We start from the raw sequence: 27,777 nt of genomic DNA on the forward strand, positions 1-27,777 counted from the left end.
AGCTATGTTACTCACTGGGTGGAGAGCCCTGGACAAACATTTTCTCTCTCAACGGTTTGCTTCCCATCAGAAACCTATGGGTAATCATTTCCACCCACTTCAGGAACTGTTGTACTGTGAAGGAGTATAGGGAAGTAGAACAACATTGTGCATACAATAGATTGTTCTACACAACCACAATTGAAACAGCAAAAGTTTCCAAAACACAACAAGCAGAACTGGGACATGTGCCACTAGACAAGGTGAATAGAATCTGTGCCCTCTTGAAGGGTCCTGAAGTGGTCGTCTTTAGTCTGGAAATGGGATTTCTTTGTCAGGCTGTTCATTAACGTCTCCACCAAACAAATGCCTCCCCCATTTATCCCCCATCCCAGGCCTTCTCCCCTAAGGAGAACTCTTCATTTCCTGCCTTCTCTTGTGCCTTTACCTTGTCACTGGCAAGCGCTTCTTCCTTTAAGCCCAAAGACAGAGGGATGCTGTTGTATTCACATAAACAAGGAAAACAGGGGCTTCCCTAGAGACTTTTCCATTTGTAGTGCATGTGTCATCGAGGTCCCTGGGGAATTGTTACCCATTACCAGGAACAAGTTAAATCTCTAGAAAGTGAGAGCAAAGTAAGAGGAAACCATGTACTACTTGCTTTTCTTTCCTCGATTCTCTTACTCTCAGGAACCAGAAAATATCAATACAAAACTTAATTATAAAATTGAATACAGCTCAGTTGAGAAACCGTGGTCCCAAGAGAAAAGCAGCAGAGCTGTAGAAGGGAGAAAAAAGAAAGAAGGAAAAAAGGCTTCTCTATGAAATTCCCTATTTTAGAAACTTGAATTCATTTGCATGAGAATTACCTTGCCTTATGTAGCAGATTTATCTTGAAAAGTTGTGAATAATGAAATGCTTAGAAAACTGACTTGTATTTCACTGACAACCATTGAAATTGAAGCACTGCAGGTTCATCGTTTCTGTCTTCATTTGCAGTAGTTCCTGACACTTTGCATTTGTGCACCATAGTATTTAAAGTGAATCTCAATAAAATCAAGATTCCTTTTATAGTGAGATTACTCATCACTTCTGCCTTCCAACCTCCCAACATTTTCCACCCCCAGAGATAGTTGTGCAAAGTGAGATGAGGGAACCTGGGACAAATTACTTAGGAACTGTGTGCCTCCAAGTCCCCCATGCATAGGAGAATAATAGTGCCTACCTGTAGATTAGGTCCTCCTGCATATCTTCCCACAGCATGCCATAATTCCCTTTTCATCATATCCATCACTTTTGCGATGAGCACATTAGCATCTAAATTCGCTATGATCTATAAACTTGAGAAAAGGGGCTGTGTCTCTCTCTTTCATCACTGTTTCTCTTACAACTACCACAATGACTGCCAAGTAGTACTTAGTAATTAAGTGTACCTATTATTTGTATTATTGTCTAGCCCAGAGATGATAAATATAATTGATTCTCATTATTCATGTTGTTGTGTTCTGCAAAGTTACTGCAGGCAATGAATTAGCAAATACTGACCCATTGATCCTAGAAGAAATACAAGGTTAAGTTCCTGTGAGCATCTGGTCATAACATTTTTGTCAACCAGTGAATACATAAGCTTGTTTTATGTGTGTTTCTCTTTAAAAGACACCTTATTTAATGTGTAGTATTGATTCATTAACACTGAACTTAGGGCCACTCCTTATTTCTCAAATAATGTCCTTCACCCTTCTACTACAGGCCTCAGTATAAATTTGGGCTTTTGCATGAAATGTTTCCTTCTCCCTTACTAATCTTCCCATCATTTATTTATTAAACTCCTCTGTTTCCTTCAAGGCCCATACAACTCTCATATTTTCTTAGATGACTCCCCAGATTCACAGAGACAGAAATAATTCTTTCTCTCATAAAATATGGTTTTTAGCAGTCATCACAGAGTAGTATCAAATTTATTTGGATGTGTAATTCATTCCAGTCAGCTTATAAAATCTTGAAGACAGAAACGAGGTATTTTTCACCTCTGAATATGCAATAGCTTCAGCATGGGTCTTTACATATATGTGATCCACAGTTGCTTTTAAAAAGTGAATTCAATTGATTTTCTCTTAGTCACTTCAGGGCAGAAAGTAGGCAATGTAAAGCAGAGATCTTCAAAATTGCACCCCACTTGACTATTCAACCAGCTTATCGCCTCTCAACAGAGCCAAGAATTCCAGGAAGCCTGGCCCTCTGACTTTGCCCCACCTCTGCCTAGAGGTCTCCCCACTCTCAGGACAGGAATAGAATTGTTGATATGTTCTGTAAACCAAGACCTGCCCTTGTAATATATAAAATCAAATATGAAGCCCTTTCCTTATTGAAAGGAAATTCCTGCCAAACTAGATCTCCCAGCTGCACATAATCCTTTCACTTTCAAGAGAATAAGCTCAGAGAATCAATGTTGGCCATTCGAAGCCTCTTTCCTCAAGCTTTCACTTGATGGGTGACAGCATGGCACCCCTGAGGCTTTTTGGTTAAGGAGCTCAGCCTTCTGACCATAGTGCTCCTGCCCTCCAGGATGCACCTGCCTGCAGGATAGAAGAGAACTTTCCCTGGAAGGCTTGAGCCAGAGTCCCTCTGGGGAGCTAATATGACCATGATGGAACAGCAACAAAATGCCTCTTGATCGAAGCCATATTGCTTTGACCTATTGTAGGTATTTGAAATATTTGTATTCCTGGTCTGTTTTTTCTTCACTTGGCAAGATGATGAGGAAGTGGAGTAAGTGGAGGAAATGGTGAAGGTGAATATGAACCAGATTAGAGGGAGATTATTCAAAGTGGTTGAATATATCACACAGAGATGCCTCTAGGTTAGTAAGAAATTATCTTCAAACACTTCATGTAAACACATGTAAGTGATGAGACTCTCAGATAAAGCAATCAAACCCTCCTATGTAGCTTGTGGAATTAGTCTTACTGCTTTCTACGTAGGTTGCCCAAGCAACAGTGCAGAGAAAGATGTCAGCCTATAATTATGTGGTACTGGGAAGGACAGATATCCTCTCTTCAGAGCAAAAGAAATCTAAATAATTCTTTCAAAATTCCTTAGCCCATTGCCTGACAAGCTCTACTTTTCCTAGACCCACTCATTCATCAGTGCTTGTGAATGGAAAAGTAAATTTTATTTCAAGGGACTGAATTCCAAGGAACTACATTCCCAGAACCATCAGAATTCAGAGCTAAAAGGGACTTGAGTCAAAATGTAGTCTAGTTTAAAAATTAAATCTTTGTAAATGTCGAAGTTGAGTCTCAGAAAAGACAAGTGTGAGTTACCCAAAGGCACAGAGGCAAGGTTATTAGATATCCCAACATCCAAACCTGATGTTCTCCATGACGCCACTGCTGCACCAGGCTTGCGTGCTGGGTGTGCTGTTGGCTCAGCACTAGTCTTTCCATGCTCCCTGCTTCCCACCTTATGCTGCCTCTGTGTTCCAGAGGCTGGAAGCCTGAAATCCATATTTCTCAGAATCCCAGCCCGAGTTATGTTTCAACAATGTGAAGCAACGCAAGAACTGGAGAACAGAGAAAAAATAGAAACTATTAAGTTTTCTGCAGCAGCAATAGGCAGTTGTATGCATTGTGTGGACTTGCATAACTGTAGATGTGACACTGTCCAGAAGCTTCCAGGTATCCTTCTGCCACCAATCATACCCCTTGGTGTTGTAGCAGCTAAGAAGGTTAGTGAAGGCTTCCTAAAGTTCTTTAAACTTTCTGATTTCCAGAATGTCAGTGGTAGTATTCTTTGACCTTTGCTCCCTCAGCTCCAGTCTATAACTCCTTACATTACATCTCTTCCTGCTTAAAATATCCAGAATGGTTTCTCAGTCCTGACACTACCCCAACTGATACCACTTCTTCCCACAGAATTGTTTTATATTATAAATTTTACATGTGGCTTTCAAAGGTAACAAGCAGAGTGCAAAAAATGTCTCAAGTAATGGTGAATAGATGGCGACAGCTTGTTGTAGAGATGGTAACACTAGAGTTGTTAAATATTTGTGTGCCATGGACCCCTTTGGCAGTCTGGAAAACCTACAGACCCTCTTCTCAAAATAACATTTTTAAATGCATAAAATAAAATATAATTTATTACGAAGAATAGCAATTATATTTAAATATAGCTTTCAAAATACTATAAATCAAATTTCCATAGGAATATATATATATATTCTTTATTAACTCAAGAAACAAGATTGGACTGTGCAGCATATCTAATGACTAATATCAATGGAGTGCGAAGCAAGCACAACATTTTGATATACCTCTTCAGCAACTGTAATAAGTTCCAGTGGTGACAAAGTCATCATTAGACTTTTGATTTGTTGCCTACATTCATAAGTGAAAGAAATTATAAATCTGAGTTAGAAGTTAGCAAAAATAATGGTGTAGGTTTTTTTCCATCCAAGTTTGTGAACCCAAGGTTAAGAACTCTTTATCTAGATGTGTGGGAAATCCATTCTTATTCTCTAATGTACTTGAAAGAAATCTGGAGGCTGGGGTAGGCTTCAGAACCTCAGATACCAAAGTAGGGACATGCTTGCAATTCATAGGCTATAATGTGTATATGAAATATTCTTGGGGGAAAAAGACTACTCAGATACAGCAAATGCAATTTCTACAATTTGTCCAAAGTAGGGGCAGGTTGAGTAATATTGAGCAAAAAGCTACTTTTCAATGCCAATGTTGTTTGAGGTAAGTTAGACTTGAAAGAGATGGCACCTCTTTATTGAAAGGCTGGAGAAGCGTGCCTCTTAATGCATCTCCCCCTCCCAAAGAGGGAAGAAATGAACTCCCATCTTCATTGTCTAGAGGACTCATTGTTAAGATCTTTAAAACATGTTGGAGGAAGAAGGGAAACATTATAAAATTATTCCTTATGCTTATTTTTGAAAGGGATTACCATGTTCGATATAAACATTAAACCTGACCTTCTCTCAACCCTAGAAAAGTGTGACTACTGTGGGAACCCCTAAAAGTAATGGAGAAAAACTTCAATTTCTCTCATGTGGTCTGAACAATACACTAGAAATTTGAGTTCCTTTGAACAACAGAAAATTGCTTGAATATTTAAGCATGCATTTGTTCTTGGGAAACAAAATGTTCAGCTCTAGTGGTTTCCACAGCAACTGCCTGGGCTAAAAATACAAAATTTGCCATAAGAAGAAAAAGTATGTACCAAGCAGGAACGGGAAGAGAAAATGGGAAATCTCCCAAAGGAAGATCATTGGCAGGAATCAGCCTGCAAAGACAAGGAAGGAGATGTGTCTCGTGGAAAGCCTTTTCCTGTGGGACAATGTGCGCTGGTAGAAACCTACAACCTCCCCACCCCAGTGCATTTCTTCTCCTCTCTCCCACTTCCCTACACTTCCTCCTTCTCACACTCCTGGAAAAAAATTACATCCACGCTGAGTACATCCCTCTGAGGATCATTCTGGTCAACAGTACAGATACACCTGGGGCGGGGTGGAGTCCCTGCCACAGCATCATCAATCTCTCTCTTATTGCTTCTGCCACTGGTTGGGCCTGGCTGTCAGTTTCTCCTCCTAATAGGTAACTGTGGTTTACCCTCCTGCCCTAGGCAATATGGCTTCTTCACTGTCTCACACACATACCCTGGTTGTTCCTGCCTCTAAGCTTTGGCTCATGTTTTCCCTTGGAAATATGTGCCTTCACCCTTCAGTATATTTAGTTCCTTATCTATGTCTGACTAGCTGTAAAGGATGCCTTCTTCCTGCAGCTTCCTGCAGTCTTGCCCTCACTGGTCTCTTTTCTCTTAAATGAATTTCAAACAGAGCTGGTACTATAGATTTTTGTGTGTGTGAATTTATTTAGTCTAGATTTCAGGCTCCTGGGAGCAAGGATCTTGCAATAAACTACAACTCTATTCCCTATGGTGCCCAGCACAGTGCCCAAAGCACACTTGTTGACAAAATCTGCTCCACCACTGTAAGAGAAGAATGGCAGGGCTGAATTAGGGGGAGCATCAAGATGCACCTACGATCACAATTTCTTGATTAAATTGTGCATGTCTCCCTCTGCACTGTAACTCTGAGTCAATGACAAAAGCCCTTCAAGCCTACACAAATGTTATTGCCACCCTTCTGCTTTTGTGTAAGGTGTGACATAGGAAGAAAACTGATTTAATAATAACATTATATTCCAGTACACTGGAGACTTCTACACTGTAGTAGAAATATTAAAGATTTGGAACCAGAAGAGCAAGTTTTATTTTCCAGTCCCACCCTGTCTTCCCGTGGACAATAAGTAATGGACATGAACAAATGCCTGGATAACTATTTCCTCCCTTGTACAAAAGGGTTATATTGCTATCCTCTTCATATGGTTACTCTGAGGATCAAATTACATGAGAGGTGATATGTTAAAGAGCTTTGAAAAATACAGCCTTTTGTGCAAATTGTCGGTATCACAGTGAGTTAACTCTCTCCAACAAATGAAAACCATAATGTACTCCCCTGAATCTCCTAAACCTATTTTTATTCTTATGTCCCTTAGGTTCAGTCTAAATTTCCAAATTCTCTTAACCCTTGTTAAATTATCAGGGCTAATTTGCATGGTTAATTTTGTCACAGGCATTGTTCTAGGCAGCCATGGGTGATTTCTTTGCAACTCAACTTTTGCCCCTCAAAAAAGAGTGTAATATGTAATACAATCATGTTTTATATTTTCATAGCAACTCCCAGTATATAAAACACATTCACATTCACACCCAGTGAGGTAGAAACTCTCACTTGTACCATCCATTTCCTGCCTTTTTGGTTGAGGGGAGTAATACTCTAAGGAGGCTGGAGCTGGAAGGAATTGAATATACAAGGAGTGCCCTATGAAGACAGGGACTGTCATCCAGCCACCACTCCCACTTTCATCCCTTTCCCCCTCTTTGCAACTGAAGTCAAGGAATGTGTTTCCAGGATGCAGGATGAAGCTGCCTCCAAAAGGCTGCCCAAGAGCAAAGAGCCCCTGCTGTATCACAGATGCACATCATGCATATCATGTACATGTTCTCCAGTGACGAGAATTCCCACTCACTATGGACAAAACCTGAGAGATGGCCCACAATACAAAATACTGCGCTGGGAAGAAGGAAGTGCTGCCTTGAGATTCAGTAGCTTCTTGGGGCTACTTGGCACTCCTGTTGCAAATCAGGCTCCTTGGGAAGACTCTTAACTTTTTCGGGCCACAGTGAACTTACATAGAGAGGCTTTTGTCCATATTATCCTTTCAGCCAAGGAAGACCACTATGCTTAGCACACTTGGCTCTTTCTTGTACCTGTAGAATATGCGTAAGTATGTTTAATCAGCAGTGTCAAATAATTCATGTAAAACTTCCTACACAAGTGGCCTAAAATAGTGTAGGTTCTGTCTCCAAGAGTCTAATTTACACCTAGACCTTGAGGAGAATTTGAATTATATTTCTTAATTTTCTGTTATCTAACCCATTCTAATCTCAGAGTGCCCCCGCGATATTGAATGGCTCAGAAATAAGTCAGCTGAATTCAGGCATAGTAAAAAAATTTTTTTTTATTTGATAAGCATTTATTGAGGGCTTCCATATTCCAGAAACAGCTTTGTATTAGTGATAACACAGTATTCAGTGTGCAAATCTAGGGAATGGTTGGTGAGGGTAGTGAGGGCTGTGAAGAGGGTGCTACCGTCAGAAATCAGCATTTAAGGGGGGTCAATCAGTGCACAATTTTGTGGGTAAACCTTTGTGTTCTGGCTTGGGTTTGAAACTTAGCTTTGCTATTTTCTAGCCATATAATCTTGAGCAAATTGTATAACCTTTCTGAACCTCAATTTCCTCATTTGTAAAATGGGAATAATTATAGTACCTCTCTCATAGGGTTGCTGTAGAAGGTAAAGGATGTAACAAGTGTCAAGCAGTTAGCTTAGTGTCTGGTTCCCAGAAAGAACTTATTAAATGAGGAAAAATAGATATTCATTGGGGCCTACTTATTTTGATTTTATCTAACTTATTTATAAACATTTATTTGCAATGTGACAGGCATTGGATTAAGCACCAGGCATTAATTTATGAATAATTTAATGAGTAGCTAATTATGAATAATTCTGAGTAGCTTGGTATTTAGTGTAGTCAGTGGGGAGATTGTTACCTAAAAAGGCAACTGAAGTATAGAGCAGGAAGAGTTAAAATGGAGGTCTGTGCAGGTGTTATATGTGCAGTCCAGTCTGAGGCCACAGAGAAGTTTCCTGGAGAAGCTGATGTCTAAAATAAATTTTGAAGGAGCTAAGGAGCTATCTGAATGAAGATATGTGTGTGGTTAGGAATAGGGAGGAATATTCCAGACAGAGTACGGCAAAAGCAAAGATGTAGAGGTACGAAAGATGCACTTCATTTTTGGTTACAGGGAAGCCTAGATTCAGGAAATAAGGGTGAAAATGTAGGTGAAGTTAGGTCATGAAGCCTTTATAGACTTGCACAAGGAGCCTGGGATTTATCTTATATACATATGAAAAATTTTAAAGTTAATAACATGTTAGATTTTCAATCTACAGGATGGACTCAAAGGGACAAGGTGACAAGACTGAAAGCACACTTTCAGGAACCACTGCAGGATAAATATACACACACACACAAACACACACACACACACATGCATCGTATTAAAACTAATGAAAACCAGAGATTAGAGAAAATATTAAAAGCCAGAGAATAAAAATATAATCCATTTTAAGAAGCAATAATAAAACTGAGAGCTAACTTCTCAACAAAAGCAATGGATGCCATATTGAAAACATTGAAAGAAAATAACTGCTGATCCATAATTCTATGCCAGTAAATACATCATCCCAAAATGAAAATGAAATGAAGACATTTTGGTTTTTCTCCTCCTCCAACCTCCAGGTTACCCTAAATTATACTAAATGTACACAAGTTAATATTTCAATTAAAACTGAAAATTATCACACTGGATGAATAAAATAAACATGATTCTATGTTCTTTATAAGAGCTACAACTTAAATAAAGACACAAAATGATTGAAAGTAAAAGCATGAAAAATAATATGTTTTGTAAACACTAACCAAAAGAAAGCACCTGAAACTGTAACAATATCAGATAAAGTAGACTTGAAACCTAAAAGAATACTGGAGTTTAAAAAAGAATATTTTGAAGTGCCAAATGGTCAACCCATCAGGAAGATATAATAATTATAAAATTATATGCACCACTAATATAAGTTTAAAATGTATGAAGAAAAAACTGACAAAAGTAAAAGGAGAAATAGACAAAGATACAATCATAGAGGAGTACTTAACAATGTTATCTCAGAAATGAATGGAATAAACAGACAAAAATATCAGTAAGTATAGAGAAGATTTAAAAAACATGATTAAAAACTTGGAGATATAGATATATGGATTCATAGAGATAATAGCTCTATATAGAGGTATCTATAAATATATAGAGATATAGATATATGAACAATATCAGAATACATATTTTTATAAGCATACATAGAACCTTAGCCAAAATTGACCATATGTTGGTTCATAAAATGCATTTTTTAAAAAGTCAAAGGACTGTAATAATTCAGGGTATACTTCTCAGGTCATAGTGAAATTAAGCTAGAAAAAAATAGCAGAAAGATAATTAGAAGTTTCTCAAATGTATATAGGAATTAAGAAATATTATTCAAAATAACCCTTAGTTCAAAAAAGACATCTCTTTTTAAAAATTCTTAAGCATTATAAAATTAATAATTTTGAAGATATAAATTTGTGAGATACAACCAAAGCAATACTAGAGATAAATTTAAAGTTCTAAAATGCGTATAATTGGAAAAAGAAAGGCTAAAAACCAACATCTAAATAGCCTCTCAAAAAGATAGCAAAAGAACAGCAAATTAAATTAAAGGAAGTAGAAGGAAAGAAATTATAAAGTCAGGAAATAATGATATAGTGAAGGGTTCAAAAGAGATCATCAGCCATAGTCAAAAGTTGGTTCTTAGAGAAGTCTAACAATATTGATAAGTTCCTAGTAAGACTGATGAAGAAAAAAAGAGAGAAAAAAATAAATTGCCAATATCAAGAAAGAAAACAGGAGATATCACCGAGGGTCCTACACATAGTACAAGTATGAGGACTTTATTGTCAATTTATGATAATTGTGATTTAAAAATTTAGATGAAATAGACAAATTTTTAGAAAAATATAACTTACAAAAACTGACACAAGAAAAAATAGAAAGCCAGAATAATCTTACAACAATTAAGAAATGAATCTGTAATTTAAAACCTTTTTCACAAAGAAATCTCCAGGCCCATATGACTTCAGTGGGAGTTCTTCTAAAACGTTAAAATAATACAGACTTCTGGTTTCTAGTCTGGCATGTAAGAAGATTTAAAGTTTCCACTTCATCCTAACAAGTAAAATGATGAACAAAGTGAAAAATCAAAAACTTTTCCTAGATTCATCAGAGATATAAAGTCACAGGGCAAACCACTGTCCCTCAGTTTGGAGAGACAGACAGGTGGAAACAAAGAATTATAACTTCCTGGAGCAGAAACCTCCATGGGAACAAGTTCTAGGGCAGAAAAACAAAAACAAAAACAACCAAAACTATAACTGACAAATTGCTGGAGGCTCAGTATGGACAAGAGCTTAAAACTTCAGGGGAACCCAGGCTTTTTTGAGTTTTAACTCCCGGAGCTCTACAGGTCATTACAGTGAATATTGGAGAAAAGTCCCCTTGTGCTTCCAGAAGAAGGAAGAGAAAAGTAACCATTTTGAAATATGCCAGAGCATTCTGTTCTCAATAAGGCCCACCCTCAGGAGAAAATATTTTATCAGAGCCTCTCTTACCATGTGTTTTCAACATTATACTACAAGTCCTAGCTAATGCAAGAAGGCAAGAAGAAAAAATAAAAAGCATACAGACCGGGAAGGAATAAATAAGACTGTCTTTGTTTGCAGATGACATCATTCTCTATCCATCATCCAAAAGAATTGACAAAAAAAGAGAAAACCTCCTGAGGCTAGGTGCAGTGGCTCATGCCTGTAATCCCACCACTTTGGGAGGCCGAGGTGGGCAGATCACTTGAGGTCAGGAGTTCGTGACCAGCCTGGCCAATATGGCAAAATCCCTTCTCTATTAAAAATACAAAAATTAGCTGGATGCGGTGGTGGAAGCCTGTAATCCCAGCTAGTAGGGAGGCTGAGGCAGGAGAATAACTTGAATCCTGGAGGCGGAGGTTGTCGTGAGCCGAGATCACGCCACTGCACTCCAGCCTAGGCGACAGAGCGAGACTCCATCTCAAAACAAAAACAAAGAAACAAAAAAAAAAGCCTCCTGAAAATAATCAGTAATCATAGCAAGGTTGGAGGATACAAGGTTAATATATAAAACTCAATCGCTTTCCTAAATACTAGCAATTAATAAGTGGAATTTAAAATTAAACACATATTATCATTTACTTAGCACCCCTCAAAATTAAATACTTAGTTATAAATCCGATAAAATATGTACAAGATTTCTATGAGGAAAACTACAAAACTCTGATGAAAGGTATCAAATAATTAAATAAATGGTGAAATAGTCCATGTTTATGGATAGGAAGAGTCAATATTTTCAAGATGCCAGTTCTTTCTGACTTGATGTATAGCTTCAGTGCAACCCCAATCAAAATCTCAGCAAGTTATTTGGGTGGCTATTGATAAACTAAAGTTTATGTGAAGTTTAAAGTTTATATGAAGAGGCAAAATTTATGTAAAGAGGCAAAAGACCTGGAAGAGCCAATTCAATGTTGAAAGGAGAAGAGAATGCTAGAGGACTGACACACTACCCTACTTCAAGACTTACTATATACCTGTAGTAATTAAGATAGTGTGTTATTCACATAACAAGAGACAAATCAGTAGACAAGAATAGAAAGCACACAAATAGAGTCTCATATAAGTATAGTCACTGATCTTCGACAAAGGAGCAAAAGCAATGAAATGGAACAAAGACAGTGTTTTCTTTCTTTCTTTCTTTTTCTTTGGAAGTGTTTAAGAGTCTGTATTTATTGATAAATTTCTGACCAGAGAAGTTAGAGACATTTACCCTTCTACAAGTAATTGTTGCAGTATATCCTCAAAAAATATTTGAAATGTTTGCTATTTTGGTAGGTACAAAGCATACCTTATTTTTTAAGATTACACTCAACTACTAATGAAGTTAATTTTTTTACATATTAATCCACTTGCATTTTCTATGTAAACTGTTAATATCTTTTTTTTAAAGACAGTGTTTTCAATAAGTGGTGGTGTAATAACTGGACATCCACATGCAAAGAAAAAATGAACCTAGACACAGACCTTACACCCTTCACAAAAATTTACTCAAAATGGATCACAGACCTAAATGTAAACCACAAAGTTACAAAACTCTTAGAAGATAATAGAGGAGAAAATATAGATAACCTTGAGTATGGCAATGACTTTTTAGATACAACACCAAAGGTATGGTCCATGAAAGAAATAATTGGTATGCTGGACTTTATTAAAAGTAAAAACTTCTGCTCTGCAGAAGACAATGTCAATAGAATAAGAAGAAAAGCCACAGGATGGGAGAAAAATAGCTGCAAAAGACAAATCTGGTAAAGAATTGTTATTCAAAATTTATGAAGAACTCTTAGAACTCAAGAATAAGAAACAAACCACCAGATATTAAAATGGGCCAAAGACCATAACAGACATCTCACCAAAGAAGATAAACAGAAGGCAAGTAAGCATATGAAAAGATGTTCAACATCATATGTCTGTAGGGAATTGTAAATTAAAAAATAAAATACCATTACACACCTATTAGAATGGCCAAAATTCAAAAACACCTTCAATACCAAATACTGGTGAGGATGTAGAACAACAGAAACTCATTTATTGCTGATGGGAATGCAAACTGATACAACCACTTAGGAAGAGGGTTGTCAATTTCTTACAAAATTAGTCCCACTCTTATCCTATGATCCAACACTCACGCTCTGGTATTTACCCACATGAATTGAATACTTATGTTAACACAAAAACCTGCACACAGGGTGTTTTTATTAGCTTTATTCCTAATTGCCAAAACCTGAAAGCAACCAAGATTTTCTTTAGTGGATGAATAGTTAAGTAAACTGTGATACATCCAAACCGTGGAATATTATTCAGTACTCAAGAAATGAACTATGAAGCCACGAAAAAAATGGAAGAAACTTAAATGCAAATTATTAACTGAAAGAAGTCAATCTCAAAGTGCTATGTCCTGTATGATTTCAACCATATAACATTAGCAAAATTATAAAAACAATTAAAAGTTAGTGGTTGCCAGGGGTTAGGAGGAAGAAAGGAATGAATAGACAAAGCACAGAGGTTTTTAGGACAGTGAAACTATTCTGTATGATACTACAATGGCAGATACATGTCATTATACATTTGTCAAAGCCCATGGAATGTACAACATCAAAAGTGAACCATAGACTTTGGGCAATAATGATATGTCAATGTAGGTTCATCAGTTATAGCAAAGATACCACTCTAGATGTGATTTCAATAGTGGGGAAGGTTGTGCATGTGAGGAACATGAGCACTGTCTGTACTTTCCACTCAATTTTGCTGTAAACATGAAAGTACTCTAAGAATAAAATTTATTAATTACAAAAGAAATACTACTAATGTTACATAAACTCTTCAGGAAAATAGGAAAAGAGTGACCACATCCCAATTTTTTATATTCCCAGTATAATATTGATACTATAACCTGGCAAAGATATTGCAAGAAAAGAAACATATCAGTCAATTATAAATTTAGATACAAAAGTTCCAAATAAAATGCTATTAAATATTGTATAAAAATAAGATTTTTATATCCAAGTTATGTTTAATCCTGGGAAACAAAGTTGACTTATATATATAAATCAACCAATTTGTTTCCCAATAATAATAGAAAAAAGGGAGAAAATATTATAATTATCACAATAGATGCAGAAATGTTACTTAACAAAATTCAACACCATTCATGATTTAAAAAAAAACTTCAAAGAGCTTACCATCACCATTTCAACATTGTGTTGAATGCCTTCATTAGTACAATAAGACAAGAAAAAAGACAAAGAAAGAAAGAAAACCCTTGTTTTTCAGAGACGTTATGATCATGTGTATAGAAAATCCAAAAGAATCTCAGATAGACCAGGCACGGTGGCTCACACCTGTAATCCCAGCACTTTGGGAGGCCGAGGCGGGCAGATCATGAGGTCAGGAGATCAAGACCATCCTGGTTAACACGGTGAAACCCCGTCTGTACTAAAAATATAAAAAGTTAGCCAGGTGTGGTGGTGGGTGCCTGTAGTCTCAGCTACTCAGGAGGCTGAGGCAGGAGAATGGCGTGAACCCAGGAGGTGGAGCTTGCAGTGAGCCAAGATCGTGCCACTGCACTCCAGCCTGGGCAACAGAGTGAGACTCCATCTCCAAAAAAAAAAAAAGAATCTCAGATAAAAGATTAGAATTAAATATTAATTTATCAAGTCTATTGGATATAAAATGAATATATAAAAATATGTTTAATTTCTTTATATCAACAACAAAAAATTAGAAAACAAAGATTTACAAAATAACTGTGAAAGCAGCAATTACCTAGGAATAAGTCTATATTGCCAAGATCAATTACAGAAAATTTACATAAAGAAAAAGATAGTCACAGCTACTCGGGAGGCTGAGGCAGGAAAATCGATCACTTGAACCTGGGAGACAGAGGTTGCAGTGAGCCAAGATTGTGCCACTGCACTCCAGCCTGCGCGACAGAGTGAGACTCCCTATAAAAAAAAAAAAAAAAAAACAGATATACCATATTCATAGATTAGAAAATTTAGTATTGTAAAGATGTGTATTTTTTATAAACTGATCTGCATGTTTAGTACAATCTCAATTAAAATAAAAATCTCAAGCAGTTTGTGTGTATGTGTGTGTGTCTGTGTGTGTGTAAATTGACAAGCTAATTTTAAAATCTATATGGAGATTCAAGAATAGCCAAAATAATCTTAAAGATGAACAAAGTTGAACACTTATACCACCAGAAATTGGGATATATTATAAAGATACTTAGAATTTATTTGGTTTATTTTATTATATTAATTTTAAAAATTTGAAGGTAGAGATCAGGAGGAATAAACAATAAGAAAAAGTAACTTGCTTTAGTAATTATTAAGTCAAGGATTACCATTAAAGAAAAACCATGTTCTGGAATACTATGCAGCCATACAAAGGAATGAGGTCATGTCCTTTGCAGGGACATGGATGAAGCTGGAAGCCATCATCCTAGGCAAACTAAGAAAGGAACAGAAAACCAAACACCACATGTTTTCACTCATAAGTGGGAGTTGAACAATGAGAACACATGGACGCAGAGAGGGGGACAACACATGCCAGGGCCTGTTGGGTGAGGTATGAGGGAAGGGAAGTTAGAGGACAGGTCAATAGGTGCAGCAAACCACCATGGCACACGTATACCTATGTAACAAACCTGCACGTTCTGCACATGTATCCTGTTTTTTTTTTTTTATAGGAAATGAAGAAAAAAAATTTTTTAAACAACCATGTTCTAGCCATATGCAGAAAATTGAAACTGGACCCCTCCCTTACACCTTATACAAAAACTAACTCAAGATGGGTTAAAGACTTCAATGTAAAACCCAAAACTATAAAAACCTTAGAAGAAAATCTAGGCAATACCATTCAGGGCATAGGCACAGGCAAAGATTTCATGACAAAAATGTCAAAACCAATTGCAACAAAAGCAAAATTTGACAAATGGGATCTAATTAAACTAAAGAGCTTCTGCACAGCAAAGGAAACTATCATCAGAGCAAACAGACAACCTACAGAATGAGAGAAAATTTTTCCAATCTATCCATCTGACAAAGGTCTAATATTCAGAGTCTACAAGGAGCTTAAACAAACTTACACACAAAAAATATGAACAACCCCATTAAAAAGTAGTCAAAGGACATGAACAGACATTTCTCAAAAGAAGACAATTACGTGGCCTAAAAACATATTTAAAAAACCTCAGCATCAATGACCATTAGAGAAATGTAAATCAAAACCACAATGATATACTATCTCACTCTAGTCAGATGGTGCTTACTAAAAAGTCAAGACACAACAGATGCTGGTGAAGCTGTGGAGAGATAGGAATGCTTTTACACTGTTGGTGGGAATGTAAATTAGTTCAACCATTGTGAAAGACAATGTGATAATTCCTCAAAGATCTAGAAGCAGAAATACTATTTGACCCAGCAATCCCATTACTAGATATATACCCAAAGGAATACAAATCATTCTATTGTAAGGACACATGCACAAGTATGTTCATTGCAGTACTATTCACAATAGCAAAGACATGGAATCAACCCAAATGTCCATAATGATAGACTGGATTAAGGAAACCCTAGAAGAAAATTGAGGCAATACCATTCAGGGCATAAGCATATTACAGGAATATTATGCAGCCATAAAAAGGAATGAGATAATGTACTTGCAGGGACATGAATGGAGCTGGAAGCCATTATCATCAGCAAACTAACACAGGAAAAGAAAACCAAACACCACATGTTCTCACTCATAAGTGGGAACTGAACAATGAGAATGAGAACACATGGACACAGAGAGGGAACGACACACACTGGGGCCTGTTGAGGAAGGGGGTTCAGCGGGAGGGAGAGCATCAGGAAAAACAGCTAATGCATGCTGGGCTTAATACACAAGTGATAGGTTGATAGGTGCAGCAAACCACCATGGCACACATTTACCTATGTAACAAACCTGCAGGTCCTGCACATATACCTCAGAACTTAAAATAAAATAAAATAAAATTTAAAAAGAACCATGTTCAGAAGGGGAGAGGAGTAATTAGATTACTGGAGATTAAAATATTAATTTGTGGTAAAATACACAAAGCAGCTTTTCTGAAAAAAAAAATGGTGAGAAAGGAAAAAGAAAAACAGGATTTTTTTGTAACGGGAAGTAGGATCAGGAGAAGAGTTTGGTTTTCTAGAATGGAGGATACTAAGTCATAATTTTAGGTAGAGTCATTCAGAGTGGAACGTGAAAAGAAAATGAATAATTGATACGACTAGGTCTAACAGAGATAAAAGGGCATGTGATTAAATGCACAAGCCTAAGAAAATGGGGGAGATTCTTTATCCTCTAAGATAGTGGAAAGAAGCAGACAGAGAGAGGTAAGCAGATACAGACACTTTGAAATCAAGAGTAAATTGGCATCCTTATATTGGATGGCCTGAAAAAAATTAGATAAAAGCGTAATAGAGTGCATAATAGTTTCTCAGTAAATATGTATTGAACTAATGAGTGAAACACTTATAAATTACTAATGCATAAATAAATTTAAGTCATCTATAGTTAAAAAGGAGACAGTGGTTGGTTAAGGCAAAATACAGATACAAGGAAAGTATAAATTTTAGGTATGCAACAGGGTGTTGATTGGAAGAATTGCTAAGTTTCTGTTTATTTTGACAATGGTATGGTAGTACTGCCTTGTCATCACTAAAATCCACTATGTTTTCTCCTGAGCATACACTAGATCACATCTCCTTGCCTTCCTAGGCAAAGATGCCTTTGGCTGCTTTCTGGCCAAAGCCATGTGGTGAGAATAATGCATGCCATTTACAGAATGAACCTACAAAAATCTCCCGTGTGATCCTCTACTTCTTGCCTTCCTTCATTTGACAGCCCAAAGCCAAGAACCTAGCAGACAATTCTGCTGTAGGGCCCTAGGAAAGGACTTGGCAAACCTTTTCTTAAGGGCAAGATGGTAAATATTTTAGGCTTTGTAGACTAAGAAGCAAAATCAAGGATATTATGTGTTATTTTATAACCATTTAAAAACACAGCCATTTAAACAGATAAAAACCATTTTTGGCTCATGGGCTGTAAAAAAAAGGAAAAAAAAAAAGCTGGAACAGGCCAATTTGGCCCATGGGCCATCATTTGCTGCTTTCCATTCAAGGCAGTAATGGAGAACCATGCTGGGAGGAGCCTGGGTCTCTGAATGATTGTGTGGAACACAGAGCTTATACCCTACTCACTATTGACTGGACTTTAGATAGGTTAGAAATAAACTTCTGTTATGCTAAGCCCCTGAAATTTAAATGGTGTTCATTATAGCAGTCAGCCAATCCTGAATGACAAAAAAGGTTAGAGACATTTGGAAGATAAAGAGGAAGGTGTGCCTTAAAATACAATTTAATATTTATTGATCATTTGCTATGTGCCAGGCCCTGTACTAAGGGTTTTGCATGCATTATCACATTTAACATTCACAAAAAATAAGAGGTAGGTATTATTATCATATGCATTTTATAGGTGAAGAAAATAGGAGTTAAAGGAATTACTCAAGTTGTAGAGCTAAAAAGTGGTAAACTTGGATTCAAATCTAAGTTGCTTTGGCTCCAAAGCTTGTTCTCCTTAACAGCATACTATGCTGTCTCCTAGAAATAAAATGAATTGTAAGAGAATCTACTGTGTATATCTAAATTCTGTTTACTTAATTATTTACTCAATCATTCATAATTTATAACTTGTCTAGTTCCAAGAATGACTCAAGTTTTTATTTAGAAGAATGTAAACAAACTGATCCAAAATTCCAATTAGGAAACTAATACATGGTTGTAAACCCTAGAGAAAATTCCTCCTGGAAGCTAGTTATTGCTAGAGTAAATAGCAGAGATCTTTGAGCAGTAAAATTCCATGCACTAAAGTCCAACAAGCCTCTCTCAGATTCTTATCTCTCTGATTCTTCCCACAGTTATAACAAATTTGCTTATCTGGTTTAAAGCCCAAAGCAGTATGTTCTCAGGTGCATGAGAGGCTACCAAAAATTATCACACTATTCATGATAGGACCTCATAGGTGACATATCATTTATACCACCACTGCCCCCAGAATACCAATGTGTACTTGCTGGGGTCATTTGATGGCCCATGCCCTTTAGTAGCCCCTAGGGTAATCACTGTATTATCAGGAACTGTACAATAATTGATGTTCATAATGAAGCTTGATCATTCAAATGATGTGAAAACATCTATAAACTACTTGAGTTAAATATATATATCTATGTATAAAATCAAGTATCTTGCCAAATATTATCAATTTAAAACTAGGATTGTGCTTTTTAAAATATAGATACTAATTGTCTGAAAAAACTCATGTATTTGATCCTTTTCATCTTCTCAAATGTGTAATAAACAAGGTAAGATCATGAAGGGTAGAAAATATCTGCTGGCAAACTCTGAACTTAAATATGACTCCTGCTAAAATGAAATGTGTAGTCCTTATTGTCTGAGGAATATTGGAAACACATAAAGTTTGGGGGTGAGAGGAGATGTGTACAAAACCAAATCTATCTTCTTTAATGTAGTATATAAACTTCCCACAGCTAGCAATCCTGATTATTCAATTTTCTGAAATAAATTTGGACTTCAGCTACCCAGATACCTTGGATAAAGGTAGTCTTTGGAAAACTGTGACAACAAAGTATTTTTCAGGCTTCAATATACTGGATAATCGGTATATATGGAACCAAAAAAAGGGATGAAAGAGGAAATTCACATGGCCTCACACAGGTGTACTTTAAATTCCTCTCTTATGTGTTTAAACTACTGGGATGTGGGGATGTATGTACACTGTGTCAACCAACACACTGCCCCTTGGCTTATGGTTACAGTCCTAATGCGGAAGAGAGAATGGCCTAATGGGTTTGCCTTTGACAGAGTTTTTCAAAACTAGAATTATTCAAAACACAATACTAACAACATTTATTATAAAGAATACCTCTGAATAGTAGTATAAAGAGGCAAAGTAGTATGAAGTGAAAGCGATGAAGAGAAAATCCATGGAGGCTTTTTTAACCAAATTTAGGAAAGCCTCTGCTCCTCTTCATGCCTCAGTTTCCTCATCTATTAAAGAAATGGGTTAGATATGATAGCCTCTATTGGCCCTTCCAGGTCTGACATGCCAAAAATTCTCTATTGCTCCTCACATTACCCTAATCTGGGAGCTCAAGGAGTACCTCTGGCTTAATTAACCATGCAGATAATTGTGTGCTCTAGCTGGGCTCAGTGGTGCACCTGACTTGGGAGGCTGAGATGGGAGGATCGCTTGAGGCTGAGAGTTGAATAGTGCAGTGAGCTATGATCACACCTGTGAATAGCCACTGCACTCCAACCTGAGCAACATAGTGAGATCTCATCTCTAAATAATAATAATAATAGTAAATCTTTTTAAAAAATTAATAAAATTGTGAATTCTGACGTAAGTCCAATGCCTTTTGATTTACTTTTGGGGTCCTGGATTTCCACTCAGTTCCTCTCAATCCAATCATAAAATCTTATAGTCCACAGAAACTGTAAATATTATCCAGTCCTCTATTACTGAGATGAGAAGCCTAGGATTTAAAAATTTGCCCAAAGTTATGCATAGTGGCACAGTCAGAACTAGAACCCAGGTTTCTTGACCGCCAATCCTCTATTCTCTATTCTATAATGTTGCTTCTTGCTATATGTGGGAGACAATGTCTAGATTAAAAATTACAGAAAACGTCAAAAGTCCACAAGCCTCTGGAGTCAGAATCAGAAGCAGGAGAGCCAATTTATTTATGATTGAGTAGAGGTTGTTTGAAAAAAATTAATAAAACATTGTTTAAGAGGCTAAGTGCCTCTAGGGATAAGAATCTGGCCTCCTTTGCCAAGACGGAACTCAATGAAAACTAAGACTAACGTGTAAATGTATTTTTGTTGAAGTTTTTCCCTTGAGATTGGGGGAGGGCAAACTGATTTAGATAAAATGAGATCTGACCTCGGCTGATCCAAAACTCTTGCCCAAGACACAAAACAAAGCCCCAATAAAACTCTAGTCTTGGTTCAAACAAAGGTCAGTAAAGGGGAGGGGGGATAAGGATGGAGACTGAGAAATAAAAGCATTTGTTGATTCTCTTCCTGACCAAAAGTCGCACTGCCAAATTGTCATAAGAAAGGCTGTTTATACAGACGCCCCAGCCCAGCTAAAATAAAAGTAGGAGTCAACTCGTCAGATTTTACACTTGGTTCCCAAGTAAGAATAGTTCAGTGTAGCTTCTGAATTTCTGGCTCCTTCGATAAATAGGTTTCTTTGGTATCAGGAAGTTATGCATTAAGAGAAAAAAGTGTGGACATCTTTCCTGGGCAGGCAGCATCTGAATACATTATTTAGTGTTCAAGCATACCAAAGATTAAAAGAAGAGATCCCACAAAGCTGAGAGCAGCCATTGTATAGAGCAGGCCTCTTAGGTCAGCTAAGGAGGAGGCTGGGAAATAGGTCAGCAGCTACAAGACCTTAGTGAAAACACAAGCTTGATCCCAAGAACTAGACACAGACCTTGATGTTCCCTAACAGAAATTCAAGAAACATTAAGGCTAATCCATAATGGAGAATCCATAAAAGAAAATGGAGAACTGTTTTTGGTTTTGTTTTCAAATTTATGCCACAAAATTCTTATGCAATCCATACCTTGAGATGGCAGCAGGAAGAGAGGGTTAGATTGAATGGATCAGTGTTTTGATTGAATGTGACATACGCCATATTTCATAAGCAATTCAGTTTATCTTTTGAAGGGCAAAAATAAGTGATTTAGGCAAAGCATGTTTAGAGGCAGAAGTCATCAAACTTTTACTTAGGTTAATTCACTTAAAATACAATTTGCATGACTTCAAACTGCAAATTGAACTGAAAAAGTGGCACCAGCCAAAGCAAAGATAAGCAGGAAATAGGTCCACAGGTCCACAAGACATTTAGAACTCCCTGCCCACTGTGCTGGCTGGTCTTTGTGGATATGACTTACATCTTGGGAGAGGAAAAGTAGACATTTGAATTTCTGGCTAGGAAAGAAAGAAAATACATACGGAAAGCTCTGGAATAATTGTATTCTCCACTATCCCCCATCCCATTAGCTGCATCAACAATTGAGTTTGTGAAATAATAATGATATCAATAGCTAATGTTTGTTGTGCACTTAATCATTATACTGAACCTCAAAAGTATGTTACGATTATATCAATTTTCTTGAGTACCAAAGAGTTCAAACCATTTTCATATGTCCTCACAGCTAGTTTTGGTAGTAATAAGAAATATTTATTGTCTCCAGCACTAAGACTTTACATGTATTGACTGACTTAACCTCATTAAGGAGATACCACTATAGGATTTATTTTGCAGCTACAAAAACTGGGTCATGGAGGGATAAAGGGATGAATTAAGTGCTTTCCTAAGGTTACATACTGATAAATAGCATATTTGAGATTTAAGGCCAATTGTCTGGCTCCCAACCCTCTAACCAGTTATTGGAAAACCTGAGATACTAACCTTACTCTGTCTGACTCCAAAACCTGCTTTTTCTACACAGCACATTTGTGTCTATGTAAAATATATACTTATTTAAAGTTAGCAACTTCAGTTTAAAATGAGAAATAACTTTGTAACAAAAGTAATTGCCCTCAAAGATAATAGAGTGTAAGTAGTGTTCTGCACATCTGTGTGAAGAGACCACCAAACAGGCTTTGTGTGAGCAATAAAGCTTTTTAATTACTGGGTGCAGGAGGACTGAGTCTGAAAAAGGGGTCAGCAAAGGGAGATAGGGGTAGGGCAGTTTTATAGGATTTGGGTAGGTAGTGGAAAATCACAGTTAAAGGGGCTTTTCTCTTGTGGGCAGAGGCAGGGGTCACAAGGTGCTCGGTGTGGAGCTCCTGAGACTCATTGTCCAGGAGAAGGAATGTCACATGGTCAGTTGATCAGTTAGGGTGGGGCAGGAACAAATCACAATAGTGAAATGTCATCAGTTAAGGCAGGAACTGGCTATTTCACTTCTTTTGTGGTTCTTCAGTTGTTTCAGGCCATCTGGATGTATACTTGCATGTCACAGGAGTTATGATGGCTTAGTTTGGGCTCAGAGGCCTGACAAGTAGTAAGCCCCTTGCCACAAAATGTGTAGCAGAGGTAACATAATCAAGCGGAAAAGACATTGTAGAAGGAAGACAAGCATTATAACAAAAGATCTGGGAATTGAACTAAATGGCTCTAAAGTTATTTGAGACCAATTAGTTCACAGCATAGTAACATAAGTGGCCCTTATTGAGTCAGAAGTTGGCTTTTTTTTTCATATTTTTTCTAGTCAGTCAACTGAGAATCTTTGTAATTTCAAAATAACACTTTGGGACGATGTGAAAATTCTTCCCCAAACACTTACAGTATTTACTTCTATAACATGACTCATAATGGGTCTGGGCTCATGAGAAGGCAAGACCTCTGTGTGAACCTGAAAGTTTCTACCTCCATCCTTATCCCACCGAGTCTTGGTGCCTGAATGTGATCATCACTATTGCTTCTTACCCACAAGAATTTGCCTTGAACCTTCTTCCTAACAGAAACTGAAGCTTGCTAAAATATTGAGAAGTCAATTATTTCAAAGGACATTAAATCCTTAAGTGGTTTAGTCAAACATGGCAACTCCATTCCCCTTGGAAAGTGATTTGTTTAGGCATGGGCATGTGATCTAATTTTGGCTGAAGTGATGTCAAGGAAAGTCTGTCGGTGAGGCTCTAGGAAGGTTTTCTCACTCCTAAAAATGAACACAAGTCTAGCAGTTTTATTTTCTGTTTCTGGATGTTGTCACCTGCTTAAGATACCTGCAATGAGAGAGCCATCTGGTACCATCATGGGAACCAGCCTAAGAGGATAAAGCAAATTACTGTAGATGACAGAACAGAAAGGATGGATACTGGGTTCTTGGTAGCATCACTGAGACACTGAATTACCCAGCTTTAGAATTCCTCTAGCTCTGCATTTCTCCTTAAGGGACAAATAAATAGCCTTGTTTACTTGTTTTTTATACCATTTATCTTTGTTTGTTTGTTTTTAACTTCCAGCTAAAAGTACCCTAACTGATAAATTGAACTACCACATTTATTCATAATGTTTAAAGCATTGCACCTCTAAGAATCCCATCAGAGAATGTGAATTTTCTCTGGAAAGACTATAAAATAAAAACTTAATAACAGTAAAAATGATTACAAATAATAATAAAATCATCATTGTTATTATTTGGCATCATGGAAAACATAGGTTTTAAAATCAAATAAACCCAAGTTTAAAATCTGTCTCTATCTTGCCAGCTTGGTGATCTCGGCAAAATTATTTAACCCTTCTGATATTGATTCCTCATATTTTAAAGGGAAGTGATATAATAATATTTTGCAAGATTGCCGTATAAATTGTGATAGAGTATATAAAGCATCTGGAACATAGCAGGTATTCAGTAATTGGTAGCTCTATCTATTGGTCTTTTTCTCATCTATAAAATTGGTATACTAAAACTTCGCTCCTGAAGTTTATGTGAGTTCTAAAGGAGACAATGAATGTATGTAATCAGCACTTTACACATAACTATAATAGTCTCTTTGGGGATGGAAAATGGAGTGATCAGATTGACAAGGGAATGGAATGAAGGCATTGCTATCTGGTGAGAGGGATGGGAGACATTGGTACAACTTGAATGTTAGAAGAGGAATACCATCACAGGGGCAAAGGGCCCAAAGACAGCCTTTATCTTTCTCAATATTTGTGTAGGGACTTCTTCTCCTTAGAACTAAAAAAACAGGAAGTAAAATTTATAGACCCCTAGAGCCAGCAAAACCAATAGGTCAGGTTTACTATCAAAAGGATATTTCTTTAACAGATCTTTGACTCTTTCTTAGTGGCTCTCTCTCTCTATGTGTGTCTCTGTCTCTTCTCTCTAATTAAATGCCTACCCTGTGCTCTTACACATTTGGTGACTTTCAACAGTTATTCAGAATTTTAAAATCTTCCATGGTTTTTAGACCAGTTCCATTTAAAAAAAAAAATTAAGGTTGATATTTCACTTTGGTCTTAAACCAGAGCCAAGTAGGCTTTTCTCCAAAGAATGCTGGCACCTGTGATTCTACTACATGAATGCCAGGAAGTATGCTGACCAACGAGTTCTCATTTCAGATAAGCAGTTAATTTGTGGTGACCTTGAGCAGCCACTTTACTTACCTGGGTCATAATTTCCTTACCTGGGTATAATTTCCTTGGCTATAAAACAAGAGGGGTTGCATTAAGTCCCCTCTCTGAACTCAGAATCACCACCTGGCCCTTCTTTGTGGCCCTCCAGTCTCATGAGTCTTTTCAGTCTATGTGTATAATAATGTCTCTCTGTATCATTACCTTATTGTATAAACATCTCCCTGTGCATGTTTCTGCCATACCTAGGTGACCCAGCAGAGATTACTAAACTCATTTCCTCTTTGTCTTCGGTGTACAGTTAAACTTCCCTCGTGTGGCCACAAAACCATTCACCCTTCTCCTGTCTTCCTGCATCTGCTGGTGGAACCAAAAGACCCAGTGAAAGACTTTGAAGTCCTGGAACATGGTGGAAACAGCTTCTCTGACACCTTCACGTCCCCATCCATCCCCACACTTCGCCCCTGCCACCTCTCACTGGATTATGATATCAGTGAGAATGCATCTTCATTGTGTTAAAACACTGAAATTTGAAGATTATTTAGTATAGTATTTGGCCTATTCTGACTGTACAACCCAGCTATGTAAAGTCTTAGAGACTAGGCAGTGTATTGCCTTCTTTTAAGAAATGAGGCAGTTTACAGGGCCCACTTTGATTATTTGGGCGGTTCCATAAAATGGTCACAACATGGGATTTAAAGAGATAAAAACAAAAAGGGGGAAAGTAAAGACAGATTTTCCTAAGTAAAAAGGAACTCTCTTTTTAATGCCAATGTTTTCTCTTCAATTAACAGCACAATTAACAGTGCATACCTCCTGGGAACATGTTACCAAAAGTTAGAAGGCCAAATTCCCTCAGCCTCTATCCAGCATCACAAATAACTTCAATGAGAACCATAGGAACATCGAGTGTCCTGTGAATCTGAGAACTGCAATGGGCCCTAGGGGCTCTTCCATCCAGGCTTATCATGATTCAGGAGAAGAAATTGAGGACCGAAGACATCAAATATAATAAGCTAATGGAGGAACTGAGGCTACTTGCCTGGCTCCAGTGCTCTTTCCTTTGCCTCAAAATCTTTACAGGTCAGCCATCTATCATGTGTAGAATAAGCAAACTGAATTAACATTGGAAATATTAAAAGAACAGAGGTTGCGTGGATATTGGTTGGAACAGAGAAGAAGTTTTCACAAGGAATTAAAGTAACACCAGCTGCTCACTGCTCTGACTTAAACCATACAGCAACTCCAGAAACATGGGGGGTGTTGTTGAGTGGCAAGGTAAGCTCAAGAATGCTAAATGTGTCTGAAGGCAAAGGGGATTATTTGTCATTGGCCTTCTGACTCAAAAAAGCCAACATATATATATATATCTCAAAACCTACTGATAAGCAGAAAGAATATAGGGCTGTTATACTTGGTTGGCATCACTTTGTTCAGAAAGCAAGAAGGCAGCTGCATTCCACACTGACCAAAACTATTATATCAGGTTGTGCTTCTCTTAGTCTTAGGTGTCTTCTCGTAGGACTGTTTTAAAATTCAACACGAGGGGAGAGGGAACAAGCTAGACACAGAGAAAATAGTTATATATTTAGAGGACTGTGAGATCTTAATAAAATTTAACCGTATGGGGGCTCTATTGCATTTACCATTCATTCAACAAAAGTTACTGATTGCCCATTATGTACTAGGCCCTGGTCTAGGCACATGGAATACACAGATGAATAAATATGTTCACTGTCCATTACTTTCTCAAAAGTTGAGGGGCCAGAAAACTAAAATGAAATGAGACAGACACTACTGGGGCTCAGGCTGGGTTGAGGGGAGGGCCTTCAACCCTGCCTTGCTATATTAGCAAAGGCTTCTAGGAGAGGAGTTGAGGCCTTTTCACGCTTTTTGAAGGAAAGATCGTGTTAATCAAGTAAATTAGAGAAAAGACATTCCTAGTGGAAGAAACAACCATGTCAAACTTCAAAGAATGATCAGGAAACTATAATAAATGTATTCTTTCTCTAGTGCATATTGTTGATGAGTATTTGGAGCAAGACACAGGTGTGTGCCATTCTGCACTTACTTGGTAATTAAGTGAAAAAAATCTAAAACTGAAAATTTAAGAGTAGATTTTCAAGTATTGTTTCAAAAGTTCAAACAATATTAACAAACTCAGTGTCTCACCCCACCTATTGGCTTTGCTTTTCGTTTTATTGACCCATTTTCCAGTAAGCTGTCTACTTAAAGAGACTGGTAGCTTGAGACTTAAGTAATCAGAACAGATAATAATCCTACAAAAAAAAAAAAGAGTTTTATTCTAATAGTTCCAGCAAGTCTTGAGATTGCATCTCATTGAGCTGGCTTCAGTCACATCACATTCCTGAACTAAGGCCCTGGTAGTACAAAGCTCAATCCTATCATCTTGACTGTCCTCTTCAGAGAAGAGATTTTCTTCTCTTCTCTGCACCTCCGTCTAACCTGTACTAAAGTTATCATTAGTTTTTCCTTAAATTAGAGAATCCAAACACATCAAACTCATGCAAAATAATGATGCCAGTTCCCTTCCTTACATTACACACACAAAAAATTAACTCAAAATGGATTATATACCTAAATGTGAGAGTCAAAACTATAAAACTCTTACAAGGAAACATAGGGGTAAATCTTTGTGCC

The 27,777-nt window shown here is 37.1% G+C and overlaps 1 long non-coding RNA gene across 1 annotated transcript in view; it reads left to right on the forward strand.

Annotated features, from left to right (window-relative positions):
- LOC105371606 (uncharacterized) overlaps positions 1 to 27,133 on the forward strand; it is a 30,799-nt gene extending 3,666 nt beyond the window's left edge. The window contains exon 2 of the long non-coding RNA XR_922261.3: positions 25,911 to 27,133. This is a non-coding gene — a long non-coding RNA (uncharacterized LOC105371606). The remainder of the gene's footprint in view (positions 1 to 25,910) is intronic.
- The last annotated feature ends 644 nt before the right edge of the window (positions 27,134 to 27,777 follow it).

Source organism: Homo sapiens, chromosome 1 (genome assembly GCF_000001405.40).
Source record: "Homo sapiens chromosome 1, GRCh38.p14 Primary Assembly".
In the NCBI taxonomy this organism is placed as follows: Eukaryota; Metazoa; Chordata; class Mammalia; order Primates; family Hominidae; genus Homo; species Homo sapiens.